The sequence below is a fragment of the Homo sapiens genome, chromosome 5 (assembly GCF_000001405.40).
Source record: "Homo sapiens chromosome 5, GRCh38.p14 Primary Assembly".
Classification (NCBI taxonomy): Eukaryota; Metazoa; Chordata; class Mammalia; order Primates; family Hominidae; genus Homo; species Homo sapiens.
Genome location: NC_000005.10, coordinates 1843969 through 1859889, shown reverse-complemented (window position 1 = coordinate 1859889; position 15921 = coordinate 1843969). Strand labels below are relative to the sequence as shown.

The 15921-nt window shown below is 54.9% G+C and overlaps 1 protein-coding gene and 1 long non-coding RNA gene across 2 annotated transcripts; one reads left to right on the top strand and one right to left on the bottom strand.

Moving 5' to 3' along the window:
• Positions 1–2618, bottom strand: LOC124901163 (eukaryotic translation initiation factor 3 subunit A). The gene has a single exon (XM_047418001.1). The coding sequence runs from the start codon at positions 2360–2362 to the stop codon at positions 1433–1435; it is 930 nt and encodes a 309-aa protein (XP_047273957.1). The 5' UTR covers positions 2363–2618; the 3' UTR covers positions 1–1432.
• Positions 2619–3321: 703 nt separating this feature from the next.
• Positions 3322–3920, top strand: LINC02116 (long intergenic non-protein coding RNA 2116). Its single transcript, NR_104602.1, has 2 exons — positions 3322–3487; positions 3594–3920. It is a non-coding gene; the product is annotated as a long intergenic non-protein coding RNA 2116 (long non-coding RNA).
• Positions 3921–15921: the final 12001 nt, after the last annotated feature.

Sequence of the window (15921 nt, the reverse complement as noted above, 5' to 3'; positions counted from 1 at the left end):
TTTCTTCTCATCTTTCTGTTACACTTTTATTGACCTGAATTTCCCAGGTTGAAGAAGAAAAACAAAACAAAACAAAACAGCCTCACTGAAGCCATTTTGCTTTCCTGGTTTCTACTTTTGTTGCCATTCATATAAATGGAACACACAAGACAACGGCACAGAGGATGAGGCAGGGACCATGGTGGGGACTGCAGGCGTCATTAGCTGTCACGGCTGCGAGGTGGCGTGGCATCCACAGCGACTCTGCCTCCTCCAGGTGTCACGTTAGGAACAAACGAATTGGTTCTTGTTCCAAACATGTTGAAGCACAGGGGGACCTAACATCCTTGCCGGAGACAATCAAGGGTTGGGGGCTGGATTCGCTGAGAATCTTCCCTCTAAATTAGTCTAGGCAGAGAATGATCCAAACATTTTCTGGGTGCACGTTGCCTTGGTCTCTAGAAGGTTTACGGTGTTGTGAGTTCGGTGGAAGTTGTCTCATTAGATGGGAAAGCTGGGCCTTTGTGCCATCCCATTGCCGAATTCACCTCCCAGGGTGTCTTGCTCAGTGGCGTCGCCCCGCCAGGGGCTGGGGATGTTCAGGCAGGATGCTCAGAGCCAGGCTCCCGCTCACTGGGCAGGGCCCAGGCACACACATACCTCTGGGCCATGCTCCAGTTGCAGGTTTAAAACCAAGCCCAGAGGGCTGGCAAGCTGCTTCTCTCCCAGGGATGCTGGAAAGACGTTGCTAACAGGGTAAGGCTCCAGCTTCCTGAAGAAGTAAGCAGAGGCCAGGGTTGTTCAGTCGTCACCAAGGACTGGGACCTGAGCTTCAAGAACTGCAGGGCCACAGGGTTGAGGGGGTGACAGAGCCTGGTGAGGCCAAGACACTGGGCTCCTATGATTCCTGGACATTGAGTAGCGTCATTCTGGAAGACCCTTGGCCAGGATCAGCAGCCCCAAACCTCTCTTCCAGGGCACTGCCCCACCAGAGCCAAGTGGAGGCTCTCAGAAGGTTGGTGGACTTAAGGGGGGCTTTTACTGAGGTCAAGGGGATCCCTGAACGATAGAGACTGGGGGCTCCTCACAACCACAGCTCCCAACTAAGGAAACCGCAGTGCGGGCTCTGCCTCAGGGCTGTACAGGAAAGAGGAGCAGAATGATTTTCCCACAGAGCAAGAGCCTCTTTCCGGCACGTCCTGGTGGGAACAGGCCCCAGGCCTGGACAGAGCAGGCAGACGCATCCGCCTCCCATCCCGGCAGCTGCTCTCAGAGCCCCCCTGCCCGTCCACCTGGGAGGCCCCCGTCCAGCCACACCGGCCCTGGGCCCCGCGCCCCTCCTGGCCCAGGGAGGAGTGGGCTTTCGTCAGCGAGTCCCATTCCACACTTCACCCCTCACTGAAAGCTCATCCACTCTGCAAAGGACTGCTGGCCTCGGGTCACCCTGCAACCCTCACATCGTCCTTTGACCTTGCCTACATGACCTCGGGTCACCCTGCAACCGCCACATCGTCCTTTGACCTTGCCTACATGACCTCGGGTCACCCTGCAACCCCCACATCGTCCTTTGACCTTCCCTACGTGACCTCGGGTCACCCTGCAACCCCCACATCGTCCTTTGACCTTCCCTACGTGACCTCGGGTCACCCTGCAACCGCCACATCGTCCTTTGACCTTGCCTACGTGACCTCGGGTCACCCTGCAACCCCCACATCGTCCTTTGACCTTCCCTACGTGACCTCGGGTCACCCTGCAACCGCCACATCGTCCTTTGACCTTCCCTACGTGACCTCGGGTCACCCTGCAACCGCCACATCGTCCTTTGACCTTGCCTACGTGACCTCGGGTCACCCTGCAACCGCCACATCGTCCTTTGACCTTCCCTACGTGACCTCGGGTCACCCTGCAACCCCCACATCGTCCTTTGACCTTGCCTACGTGACCTCGGGTCACCCTGCAACCACCACATCGTCCTTTGACCTTCCCTACGTGACCTCGGGTCACCCTGCAACCGCCACATCGTCCTTTGACCTTGCCTACGTGACCTCGGGTCACCCTGCAACCGCCACATCGTCCTTTGACCTTGCCTACGTGATGGCCCCATTACTCCTTCGGTCGGAGAGAAATCGTCCCCAAACCCTGCCCCGCCTCCCCTCGTAGCCCTCCTGGCTCTGGCTGAGCGGGGCCGGTCCACACGGCTCAGACCGTGACAAATGTCCAGCAATAAATGCAGCCCTGGGGTCGGTGGCAATTCCTGTCTTTCTTTCAGATTGTTTTTCTGATGGTCACTACAGACACTTCTACAGAAGATCTGAAAAACACAGAGGAGTTGAAGAAAAATACAGCTTGCGTGCAAAGCCGTCCCTCTGAGCGCGGCCGCCATGATTCCCGGTGGCTTCTTCACGCGAGTCCTTGCAGTTGCTTCTCGCCCGACGTCCCCGCCTTCGGGGGAGCCCTGACTCGGACGCACCCGGCGGGGGGCGGTTCTCTAGGAGCCTGGGCTCGGATGTCTCTGGAGCTCGGTTCAGGGGCGTCTGGGGCCCCGGCGTCTGCTGAAGGCCCAGAGCCTCGCTCCATCCCGGGGACCCCGGGTCGCCGAGGGCCGTGGGGACCCGGCTGCTCAGGGACCCTAAGGACGTCGTCAGGCCCAGGCCCTGTGCGCCGCCCCGGGGTGTGAGGGCCGGCGCCATGTGGCTGCTGAGGAGCTGGGTGGGGGCCGCAGCGGCCTCCAGGGCCAGGGCCAGGCAGGGTCCGCTGGGCCCGAATCAACCAGGCCGGCCGCAGAGGGATCGGGCTCTTCCGCCCGCCCCACGCCGCCCCAGCCTGTGCGGGGAGCCAGCGGCCCGGGTTTGAGGCGGAGAGGCCACGTCAAGCCTGGGCTCCTGTTGTCTCCTCACGCGGGAAGGTCCGGAGCCCACTCCGACCAGCATTCCCCGTGGAAGTGGCGGCCCCTCTGGGTGGGGGTCCCTGAGCTGGTCCCCACCGTCTCTCACCCGGCCCTGGGAGCGGGGGCGTTTCCCCTCTGTCCTTGCCCCCTGCCTGGCAGGCACTTTGGTTTTCCTCCTCCCTTGGAAATGCTCCCTCTGGAACCCGCCTGCCCCTGGCCCTGTGCTCAGCCCGGGGGTGCCGGCCTGGGAGCCAAGGTGGAGCCGGGGTGGGCTCCGGAGGACGGACCGCAGAGGTGGGCCGGGAGGCGCTGGCGAGCACGCAGCTCCCTCAGGCTCGTCCCAGCCTCACGTCCGGAGTCACCGCAGCAGAATAGAGTCACACCTGGGTGTGGGCTCCTGGACCTTCCCGCGTGAGGAGACAACGGGAGCCCATGTTCATCATTTTGAAGAACCACAGATTTTGAGTCATGCCAGGGGCTCCGGTGAAAATGTCATGGGAAGCCAGCCCTCCGCGTCTAACATTTCAGCTTGAGGGTGACCGGGAGCTCTGGGGTGGCCCTAGACCTGGGAATGGACTCCCAGGCGCAGTGGCAGGCATTTCTCTTGCTTTTTCTTTATGAGTAAGTGGCCTGGCTATCCAGTGAGCAGTTTTCACGATTCATTTTATATAAGAAAAAAAGTAACTTTCTCTTTATCCGTCCCCTACTTTTCTCCATCTCTCCCCAGTTGACCTGGGCTGGCCATGTCCCCGTCAATGCAGCTGGTTCTCAAAGGCCCCACTCTTCCCCGCGGCTCCGTTTACCACCAACGCGCTTGTCCCGTGGCACTTAGAGGGAGACCTGCTCCTCCTGAGAATCCAGGAAGGAACTGAAGAGACGACGTTGCTTTCTGATCTTTCTCAGGCCAGAGGAAGTTTGTGGGCCAAGTGATATTCCTAATTCAAACTTTATTATGTAATTATAGTACAAAACATATTATTTTTCTCTTTATTTTTCCTCTCTCAGTTAATGGTAAATTGTATTGCATAAATAAATTACACATGCTGTAATTCATGCCTCGCAGCCTACACACCAATTAAATCCGAAGCTGACACAGTCCACGCACAATTACATGGAATCTGCAAAGTGAAAGGATCATGTATTTGCGCTGCGGTAACAGGCAGAGCCATTTAGCGACGTGACGGCTGTAAGTGCAGGGCAAGCGGAGTCTGTGCTCAGGGATGACTGATGGGCCCCGCGAGAGGCATGGGGACAGCGCGTTGCCTCACATCGAGCTGGGCAGCACGTACAGGACATCGCACATTTCAGGACTCACAGGCGGCACCCACAGAGTGTCCCAACAGGCAGGAGGGGTGTCCAGGCTGAGCAGAGGAGGCAGCTGCTCTTCTCCACTCCAGAGGGACCCTTAAGGTCATAAATCCCCAAATAAACGGCCGTCTGAACCTCCAGCTTCAACTGCCTGGCCAAATGTCCCTGTCCCGCTCTCGGGATGTGGGCCTGACTGCCAGCCTCTGCAGAGGGGCCCTCAACTCAGGCCACCCTCAGGATGGTCCCCGGTGTCCTGGGGAGGGAAGATGGAGGCCACACTATGCTAAAAGACTCCTCCATCCCTCCTTCTCCCTCCCCACTTCTGAGGATGCCTCGTGGGTGCAGAGGGTGCACAGCACAGACCTGCAGAGAACAGGTATCTCCTTTCAGCTCCTGCTGCCTCTGGCTCCTGCCTCTCCCTGGGATGCCTCAGGGTCGCCCCAGCCAGTGTGCTTCCTGGCATGGTCTCCCCCCAGGGTCACTACTGGGGGTCAGTGCCTGGGAGGTGGAAGAAAATGAATACAAAAAACCATGGAAGACAGGGAAGTGGTGTGGAGGGACAGTGTACACCCAAAGTCAATCACTGGCCCCTCCTGCAGATTAAAGGGAATACCAGTGGAGTTAAGGAAGGAGCTGGAGCTGCACCTAGGGCAGGGAAGCCACAGGACGCAGGTTTATCTACAGTGCAGGAATGTCAGCATGAATTTGTAGAACCTGATCTGAGCTCAGGGTGTAATCAATTGTATTCCATGGGACCCGACTAAAGCCATTCTATGGATAGGAATCGTAGGTGTTGCTCTTTTCCTAAGGTAGCTCCTATCTGGATAGAGTCATGAAATAGCTGAGAAAAGAGGCTCACTGCAAGGGTCAGACCACGCCAGAGCCCAGCATTCCACGGACGTGATCTTCAGTAAACCCATTGCCCATTCCAAAGTCCTGGCCATCTCTTGCCACAAGGAAAAAGAAAGATGGCTGAGAGTCCCTAGGAGGGAATTAGAATGGGGCCGCAAACAATTGTCTGCAGGTCACACTGAGTGGAGTCAGAGGCTCAGGCTGTGGCTCAGGCTAGAGAAAAGTCAGCCCCATCCAGGAAGGTGACCGCTGCCATTCATGGCCACAGGGCCCATGTTGCCAAGAAAGTGCCCACACAGCCCTCCAGCTGCAGAGCTGCAAGCTTTGGAAATAAGAGGTTGCTTTGTTTATCTTTTCTTTTTTGAGACGGGGTCTTGTTCTGTTGCCCAGGCTGGAGTGCAGTGGCACAATCATAGCTCACTGCAGCCTTGAAATCCTGGGCTCGAGCAGTCCTTCCACCTCATCCTCCCAAGTAGCTAGGACCAAAGGCATGTGCCACCATGCTTGCTAATTTTCTTATTTTTAGTAGAGACAAGGTCTTGCTATGTTGCCCACTCCTGGGCTCAAGCAACCCTCCCACCTCAGCCTTGGCGAGGTTGATCAAGCGTGAGTCCTGAAGGCAGCTTATTCTCAATTCAGTCAGAGATGCAATCTTTACGTGTGCCTGGTCTCCATGCCCTGAACCACTGGGAGCTCCAGATGGAGTCAGGAATAGATTTTATGCCCAGAAAAACACCTGTGGTAGAGGCAGGGAAGAGGCCACAGTGAGCCACCAGGCGACAGAGGAGATGGGAATGCACCCTGAACCCCAGAGCATGAGGCAGCAGGGGCCACGAGATGGCCCTAGGCACAGCAGGTGTCACCCAGGAGAAGCCATCAGGCAGGGAGGTAAACAATGAGAGGCACAGAGGAGCCCTCAGTGCCTGCTGCTGAGGGAAGGAGCCAGTCTGGGAAGGATGCACACAACACGATCCCCACCCTGACCCCTGGGAAAGGCAGAACTCAGGAGACAGCAGGAAGAGCTGTGGTTGCCAAGGGCTGAGGCAGGGGGATGAGCGGGCAGAGCCTAGAGGGGTTTAGGTGGTGACATTCCCCTGTGTGATGCCATAGTGGGGAACGCATGTCACTTTCCATTTGTCCAAACCACAGGATGTGCCGCAGCAGGCATGAGCCCTCCGGTGCACCACGGACTCCAGTGAATGACAGCAGCATTGGCAGGACTATGACAAACGCTCCACTCTAAGGCGGGACACTAGTAGCAACCAGGGAGGCAGGTGGGGCATATGTGGGAACTCTGCACTTTCTGGTCACTCTTTCCATAAGCCCAAAAACACTCTAAAAACTAAAGTCTATTACAAGGAAGGGAGGGAGGGAGGGAGGGAGGGAGGAAGGAAGGAAAAGAGAGAGGGAGAAAGATGAAAGAAGAAAAAGAAAGAAGAAAGAAAGAAGAAAAAGAAAGAAAGAAAGAAAGAGAGAAAGAGAAAGAGAGAGAGAGGGAGGGAGGGAGAGAGAGAGAGACCAGGTGCGGTGACTCACACCTTCAATCATATCGCTTTGGGAGGCTGAGGTGGGGGGGATCGCTGGAGCTCAGGAGTTCGAGACCAGCCTGGACAATGTTGTGAGACTCGTCTCTGCAAAAAAATGCAAAAGTCAGCGAGGTATGGTGCGTGCCTGTGGTCCCAGCTACTCGGGCAGGAGGATCACTTGAGGCCAGGAGTTCAAGACCAGCTTAGGAAACATAGTGAGACCCCATCTCTATAAAAAATAAAACAAAAATGTTTAAATGGGAAAGGAAATGGGGAGCAAGGTGACGGTGTCTTGTGGTGGGACCCACGATTTCATTCTTCCTGCCAGGAAGCTACCTTCAATTCTTTCTCATGATTTTTAGAATATGGATTGCTCTTTTAACATGATGAAACACATGCTTGCTGGATAAAAATGTAAAAAGCGAAGATAGATGGACTGGATGTGGCCCCTCCCCTTCTCTCCAGGGGTTGCCAAGCATGTGCCCACCCTCCCCCATAGGGCCGGAGAAGCCGCTAGGAGGGGCTGGCCCTTCCCGGGCCTCTGGTGCCAGGGGTGTGTGGTGTGTGTCACACAGTGGCCTCAAGGAGTCTCGGCCAGGAGGCACCTGAGCCGGGTGCAAAAGGGAGGCCAGCAGGCCCCTGCAGGCGGTGGTCACTGCCACCGGGAGAGTCACATTCCTGTCCCCATGTAGAAGGACGGGAGGGCAGCAGGGGCTGGGCATTTCCACGTTCACACGGGGCCCAAGGATGCAGGACCAGCCCATCCTGAGCGTGGGCCATGAGGGGCGAGGGGAACCTGTCACCACCCAGGCCGGGAGCCTCTGGGACATGCCAGATGGCCACTGCACGCTGCCTTCCCCACCTGCAGAGCCTCCAGTGCAGGCCAGCGAGGTCAGGCGCCCGCTCTGGCCAGCAGACAGGTGTCATCTGGCAGCCGCCACTCATGTCCTGCGGCAGAGGCAGCGGTGTGTGTGTGGTGGGCGGGGGGGCGGGGGGGCTTCCAAATGCCATAGGGGCAGAGGCGCAGACGTGCCAGGGAGAGGTGAGGAAAGGTCACCGCTCTGAGTCCAGGCCTCCCAGCTGTCACTGCAGACGCGGGGCCTAGAAGGGAAGGAGCTCCCTGGGAAACAGAGTTTCCCAGGAAATGCAGAGCTCCCCGGGAAGCTCCTGTCACTCCCTGGAAGCTCCAGAAAGTTCCGTGAGCATCAGGTGTTGAAGGCCTAGGCTGCAGGTGAGGGTTGTGTGTACCTGAGTGCGTGTGGGAGGCGGCTGTCTGCGGAGCTGCGTGGCCAGTCCCTCCGCAACTCTGCGAAGTATCCAGGGATGTGGAGATTCCTACCCATTCAATTCATTTGGAAAACGCCAGGTGTGACGTTCCGAGTGTCACAGTGTGGCTGCCCAGGGCCTTGCTAGAGTAAGGCTGTGTAAGCAGCAGTGGTGACCTGCAAGTGCCTCCTGAGCAACGCGGCCACCCCGCGCCACCGTGCAGACCCCGCACCCGTCATCCTTCCTTGCTGTGGGAGGGAAGCGAGGCACGGAGGGCTGTATGAGCAGCAGGGCCAAGAGCAAGCCTCACGGTCCCTGAGGCTCAGCTCGGACGGAGTGCCCCTTTCTGTGTTCACCGTGAAAACCTCCAACGTCACTCAGAGAAGAGCCCTGCCCCGAGCACCCTCATCAGCGGCCTGAGCCACTCCACCAGAGTGGGATATGGCTTCCTGAGGACAAGGAGGGGCGGAGACAGGGGACGGAGGAGATGGGGGAGGTGGGAGGAGAGGAGGGAAGCGGAGAGAGGAGCGGGGAGCAGTGCGTCTCTCCTGCTCCTTCCTGCAGCAGCACTCACCCGCTGTTCCCCAGGGGGCCAGGTGTGGTGGGACAGGACCCTCCCTGCGCAGGTGCGCTCCCAGCCGGAGGAGCCCGACATTCCTTCCCTGTAAATCCTTCCGCACCAGGCCCCAGCGCCTCGTGAGAGGGCGCAGGAGGAGGCTGCAGGGAGGAGGATGACGACCGGCTGCCTGGGAAAATGCTGCTGGCGCGGCCCCTGGAGTAGCAAGGAATGGGGGTGAAAGACGAACGGACGGGGTCCTGCTGACTCAGGACTGCCTGGACGCGGGGAGGCTGCTCCCTACAGAGCAGCCGAAGAACCTGATCTTCCCCCTAGAAACAAGAAGAGCAAAGGGCTTAGTCAGGAAAAACAAAACAAAACAAATAAAGCAAACAATAAACAAAAGCAGTGGGCCCACCCCTTCCCTCACCCCTCCCCTCACCGAAACCCACTTCTCTCTGGGCGGCCCTCCCAAGTCCGGCTGAGTTTGCAGAAGCGGAGCCTCCGGGCGGGTCTGGGCTTGCTGAGGCTGATGCCCTCTGCTGTGGCTCAAGACCCGCGCTCCCTGGGAGAGAGCTGAGCAGCCACAGAAAATTCCAGAACAGGCGCTGCTCCGCATTTCAAATCCTCTCTGGACACAAGGACACAAAGTATCAGCCTCTAAGTAGACCCAAGAACCAAACACCGGGTCAGCTGGCGACACACAGAGTATACACACATTCCTACATGCACATGTGCATGCACACAAGCCCACGTTCACACGTGCACACATGCTCATATGTTCACACACATGTGCACACACAGGCTTGCCCCATGATTCAGTCGAACACCGAGAGGGCTGATGACTCTTGTGTTCCAGGTTTTCCATGTCCGGGGCAGGGGAGAGTCGCTGCTGGCCCTGTCACGGTGCATCCCGACCCACCCCAGGACCCCATTGTGGAACACAAAGCTTGTCCATAAATGAATGCGCGCTCGGTCTGATTGTCAAGGAGCAGCTCTTCTGCTCTGGAGCACCAGGTTCCGGTACTGGCTGCAGGCCTGTCATCCAGCCTACGCACTGGCAAACATGTGAGCAAAAGGCTCAGGCTTCTGCAGGCCAGGCTTACCTGAGAGTCGGGTTGTGCTGGATGTGTGTGTATCAGCGTGTCTGGGTGTGTGTGCATGCTTGTGCAAGTACAACACACGCGCAGTGTCCTGGGGATTACATGCTGAGGACTGCGGTGAAGGCTCTCCCGGTTTTGTGGGCTTTGGAAAGAGGCACAGCCACAGCCTTCTCTTGGCAGCAGCCACCAACCCAAAGGCCCCGAGGAGGAGGGAGGGGATCCGTCCTGGATGACTGTCCCCAAAGCAACACTCCTTGGGCACAGCGACAACCCCAGCCAGAAGCGCAGGTCCTGTGCTGTTTAGTTTGGTCTGAAATAGCCCATCAACCCCCTTTGGCAATCTCTCCATCTCTGAGACACTGTGACAATCCCTCCATCTCTGAGACGCTGCGACAATCCCTCCGTCTCTGAGACGCTGCGACGGTCCCTCCGTCTCTGAGACGCTGCGACGGTCCCTCCGTCTCTGAGACGCTGCGACGGTCCCTCCGTCTCTGAGACGCTGCGACGGTCCCTCCGTCTCTGAGACGCTGCGACGGTCCCTCCGTCTCTGAGACGCTGCGACAATCTCTCCGTCTCTGAGACACTGCTGGTTTTAGGCTCAGTCTTCCAAAAAGACATTGGCGAGGTGGGGGGTGTCTCACCCAGCACTGGGGCACCTTGACAGTGAACTCCCAGCATTGAAATACAAGGTGCTGTGTTGAAAAGGTGGCAAAGCTTCATGGCAGGAAAGAGGGTGGATGCCGGGGCTCTGGCTGAAGCATGCTTTTCTTTGGCCACAAAAGGATGTTTATGTTGGATTTCTTACAGACAGTTGGTAATTTCTCTACATAGGCTTCCTTCACACCATTAACTAACACAGATAAACTTTGATTAACAAAGGATACAGCCACATTTGGTGTGATGATTCTGATGTAATTGCCACACATTCTACTGTATGTCTAAATGACACCCGTGCTGTGCGCACATGAGGGAAGGCGACAAGGAAGCTGTGTGGTGTCTGCTCTGTGCCTGTAGCAAAATGAAGAAGATAATTGCTGTGATTGTCCTTGCAGCCCCTTTTCAGGGTTGAGCTCAGGATGCTGGGAGGTCATCGCATGGGACCTTAGCTACTTCCGGCCCCATGGCCCTCAAGTGGTTACCTCCTGCCCTGTGACTCTGACCCTGCCAGAGCCTCGTCTCAACCTCCTGTACTGTTGCCTGATGAGTTCAGGAGTCAGAGGAAAAGGGACTCTCCCCAGCACACCCCAGCCCAGCAGGGGCCACTCTGTCTTGTCAAAGCTCTTTCCAGCCTGACCAAAGAGCCTCCCGACCAGGCTTCGAGCCTGTGTGCAGTGCCCTGGGGAGGACAAGTCCCTGCTACTTTCCTTTGCGGGGAGGCAGTTTGCAGGTGGTGTTTAGAAAGAGGCAAAAACCCAAGGAGGTGGACCTCACTTTGCCAAGCAGATGCAGGAGAGGCTGGAGCCTGCACAGCAAAGCGCCCCTCAGGGGCCTGCGCTGTGGCATCGGTCGGCTTCGGTACAAAATGCTGTGTGGATGGGGAAGTCAGGCACAGTGAGGAAGAAGGCAGTGGAGGAGGGGGTCACAGATGGAAAGGCAACCAAGCTGGCCAACAGCTGGGATAATAGGTGAAGCCACAAGGGACATGGCTGAGGAGGCAACCTTGGCGTCATGGGAGAGTTCTCCTTTGGGAGAACTCTTTGGGCCCTTCTGAGGCCACAATGCTGAGCCTCGAGCCTGGCCCCCACTTGTGACAGCCCTGAGGTTCTAGTTGAACGTGAGTGTGCTCCCCACCCAGCCTCCTCCCACCACTAAAGTGAACACCAGAGTGCTCCCCACCCAGCCTCCCCCACCACCAAAGTGAACACCAGAGTGCTCCCCACCCAGCCTTCTCCCACCTCCAGGGTGAACACGAGCGTGCTCCCCACCCAGCCTCCTCCCACCTCCAGGGTGAACAGGAGAGTGCTCCCCACCCAGCCTCTTCCCACCACCAAAGTGAATATGAGAGTGTTCCCCACGCAGCTTCCTCCTATCACCAAAGTGAACACAAGAGTGTTCCCCATCCAACCTCCTCCTGCCATCAAAGTGAAGTCTGCTCCCCACCCACCTCCTCCTACCACCAAAGAGAACATAAGTGTGCTCCCCACCCAGCCTCCTACTACCAAAGTGCACACGAAAGTGCTCCCCACGCAGCCTTCTTCTACCACCAAAGTGAACACAAGAGTGCTCCCCATCTAGCCTCCTCCTACCACCAAAGTGCACACGAGTCTACTCCCCACCCAGTCTCCTCCTGCCACCAAAGTGAACACAAGAGTGCTCCCCACCCAGCCTCCTTCTACCACCAAAGTGAAGTGTACTCCCCACCCAGCCTCTCCTACCAGCAAAGTGAAAACGAGAGTGCTCCACACCCAGCCTCCTCCCAACACCAAAGTGCTCACAAGTGTGCTCCCCACCCAGTCTTCTCCTGCCACCAAAGTGAACACGAGAGTGCTCCACACCCAGCCTGCTCCTACCAGCAAAGTGAACATGAGAGTGCTCCACACCCAGCCTCCTCCTGCCACCGGGGACACGTCCTGAAAAGAGCAGCCACCAGCACATGGCGCCTGCTGCGATTTGACCCTCTATCCAGGCCAGGGCTCAGCCCACAAAGCCGCCTGTTGTGCCGTGGGTCTACAGCAGAGCATCCCACACGCCTCGCCTGCAGAGATCTCTTCTGCACCCTCCAGAGAAGCAGGCTTCTTTCTGCTCTCAGGAAAGGGACATGAGTGAGCAGAGGTCTTTATTTTCCACCCACAGTGGCCAGGTGGGCATCTGCCTCAATGGAGCCTCAAGGTCCTGGGCAGGGTAGCACATTTTCCCTTATTATTTCAACACAACAACTCACAACTCATGCTACATCCCATTTCTCATTCATTCTTCGTGAAAAAAATAAATCAGACTCAAGAAGTGGCTCCCATCCTGATCCCTGTATTCTCGAAGGGTCTCCAGTTTAAGCAGCCATGTCACAGTGGTAAAGCTAGGGGCTTCAGACCCGACCCCTCTCCAGGGAGAGAACGTAGTGAGGGGTGGGCTTTCTCTTGCCTCCACTCCCTCTTCTGTAAGGCGCACACTGCCTGCCTCGTCTGAGAGTCACTCCCACACCCAGTGCGTGGGGCTGCCCTCCTCTGCTGTGCAGGGAGGCAGGGGCTCACAATGTCATCTTCTCAGAGCACGCAAATCGCCTCACAGGGAGTGCGGGGCAGGCGAGGACAGGCTTAAATTCAGACTCTGCCACAACCTGGCCCCAGGTGCCCAGAAAAATCACTTCTCTCTCTGAACATCTGTCTCCTACCCTCAAAATGAGGCCACTGGACTACAGATACCCTTCAATTCCTCCATTCAGCATCATATTTGTTACCTGTTGCTGCAGAAGAGAACGCAGCAAACATAGCTGCTGGAAACACAAGTTTCCTCCCTTGGTCCTCGTGGGCCGGAAACTGGGCGCAGCCAAGCTGGGCCCTCTGCTCGGGGTCCCTCAGGCTGTGGTGCAGCCGTTGGTCAGGCTCTTCACTATGCATGTGCCTGTGTCCCTGTGCACGTGTGTGCTGATGTGTGCTTGCTCGCATGCGTGTGTGAGCCTATGCACGCATGTGCACACATGTGCGTGCACACATATATGCATGTGCCTGTGCCTGTGTGGGGGCATGCATGCACACACGCACTGTGGCAGGAAGGTGTGGTGGATACCTCAGGTGGGCGGCTTGCACTGTGACACCTCCAGGCCCCCAACATGAAGGTAGCCTGCTGGCACAAAGCCTGCCCCTCTGAGAACTACACAAGTCCCTGAAAGGCGAGCCACCCACCGCCCTCCCCACCCCTGGGAGGGCCTGTAATTTCTGGGGGAGTCCATGAGCAGCCCCTGGTCCCCAGCCCCCTCTTTGTGAAACCTCACACCCCAGGGACCCAATGTGAGGACACAAAGCACTGGCCAAGAGAGCAGGAAAACTCTGGGAACACTGGAGGGGGTTGACTCCATGTAGGCCTGAAGACTTTATGTGTTTCCACAAATGGCGTCTCAAGGGACAGCGATTCCTGATGTGTAAGACTTTGATCTCTAACCTAAAACATCACACCTGCATCTATCACTCAGCCTTCCATACTCTGCAGCAGAAAACAGCCCGAGAACTAGACACCCCCAGACACGACAAAACGAGAGCCCCACAGGCACCGAGGTCCCATCCTCACAGACCCAGGTCAAGGTCTTCACTCTTAAAGCCACTTGGAGCTTTGATTGAAGTGGTTCCTTCAGTTTAATAAGTCGCCTTAAGGCTGTGTCCTAGAGTGGGAATGAGTGCAAGAAGCTAGGTTGGAAAAAAGGCAATAGAGATACATAGAGCTAGAGATAGAGCCTGAGATAGAAACAGAGATGAAGATAATAGAGATAGAGACAGAGATGGAGACAGATATAGAGATAGAGAGAGGTTAGAGATAGAGATTGAGACAGAGATAAAGACAGAAATAGAGATAAAGATGATAGAGACAGAGATAGAGATAGACATGGAGACACATATAGAGATAGAGACAGAGACAGATATAAAGACAGAAATAGAGAAAGATGATAGAGATAGAGACAGAGATGGAGACGGAGACACATATAGAGATAGAGACAGAGACAGATATAAAGACAGAAATAGAGACAAAGATGATAGAGACAGAGATAGAGATGGAGACACATATAGAGATAGAGAGAGATATAGAGATAGAGACAGAGACAGATATAAAGACAGAAATAGAGATAAAGATGATAGAGATAGAGACAGAGATGGAGACACATATAGAGACAGAGAGAGATAGAGAGATAGAGACAGAAACAGAGATAAAGATGATAGAGATAGAGACAGAGATGGAGACACATATAGAGATAGAGAGAGATATAGAGATAGAGACAGAGACAGATATAAAGACAGAAATAGAGATAAAGATGATAGAGATAGAGACAGAGATGGAGACACATATAGAGATAGAGAGAGATATAGGGATAGAGACAGATAGAGATAGGGATGGAGACAGATAGAGATGGAGACAGATATAGAGATAGAGAGAGGTTAGAGATAGAGATAGAGACAGATATAGAGATAAGGATGATAGAGAGAGAGACCGAGATAGAGATAGAGATGGAAACAGATATAGAGATAGAGAGAGGTTAAAGATAGAGATAGAGACAGAGATAGAGATAGAGATAGGGATGGAGACAGATCTAGAGATGGAGATAGATATAGAGATAGCGATAGAGACAGATATAAGACAGCGATAGAGATAAGGATGATAGAGAGAGAGACAGAAATAGAGATAGAGATAAATAGAGATGAAAGAGGTAGAGACAGAGACAGAGATAGAAAAAGAGAGAGAGGTGTAGGGGTAGGTGTGGATATATTAATACAGGTATAGCTGTAGGTATAGATGCAGGTGTTAGTTTAGGTGCAGGTGTAGGTGCAGGTGTAGGTGAGGTGTCGGCATAGGTGACATAGGTGTAGGTGTAGATGTAGATGTAGGTGTCTGTATAGGTGTAGGTATAGATATAGACAAAGGCATAGCTATAGGTATAGATGTAGATGTAGGTGAAGGTGTAGATATAGGTGTAGATACAGGTGGAGCTATGTGCGTAGGTATAGATGTAGGTATAGGTATACATGTAGGTACAGATACAGGCATAGATATAGATGCAGGTGTAGGTATATGTGTAGGTGTAGAGGTAGGTATATATATAGACATATAGATATAGATGTAGGTGTAGGTGTAGATATACATACAGGTGTAGGTACAAGTGTATGTATAGGTGTCGGTGGAGAAGTAGGTACAGGTGCAGATATAGACATACAGACATAGCTGTAGGTATAGGTGTAGGTACAGGTGTAGGCGTCCGTGTAGACGTAGGTACAGGTGTAGATATAGACATATAGACGCAGGTGTATACACATACAGACACACCTACTTATAGAAAGTGGAAAGTGTGGGTTAAGTTACCATGGGATGATTATTAATGCACTAGAGCGATGCTACTGTTTTGTGGAGAAATCTGTTCCCGTGTCTTAGTCTTTTCAAGAAACACTGGCTTCCAGCAAACAGCACCTGGGACATGGGAGTATGCAGAGCCAGGGAATTCCCTGTCGTTCATTTTCCATGTTTCCAGAACATGGTTAGAACTGGGCACACACCTGGAGATTGAAGGGTCTCCATGGGTAGCTTGAAGGGATGAAGGTGTGTAGGTCATTGTTTCCAGAACCATCCAGGGTTCTGATCTATGATTCGTGTGGGATTCGGGAGCAGGCGCTAAACATTTGTGTGTCAGCACTTATAGCTGCCAAACAGAATTCATCAACTGTGTTTCCTGCTTTTATTTCACCTTCATATGTGATCTTCAAAATATCAGTATATTTTGGCTGGGCTGGGCACGGTGGCTCATGCCTG

Bases quoted from the DNA above. Each gene is read 5' to 3' on its own strand.
- LOC124901163 (XM_047418001.1), bottom strand. From the start codon at position 2,362: ATGGCGGCCGCGCTCAGAGGGACGGCTTTGCACGCAAGCTGTATTTTT.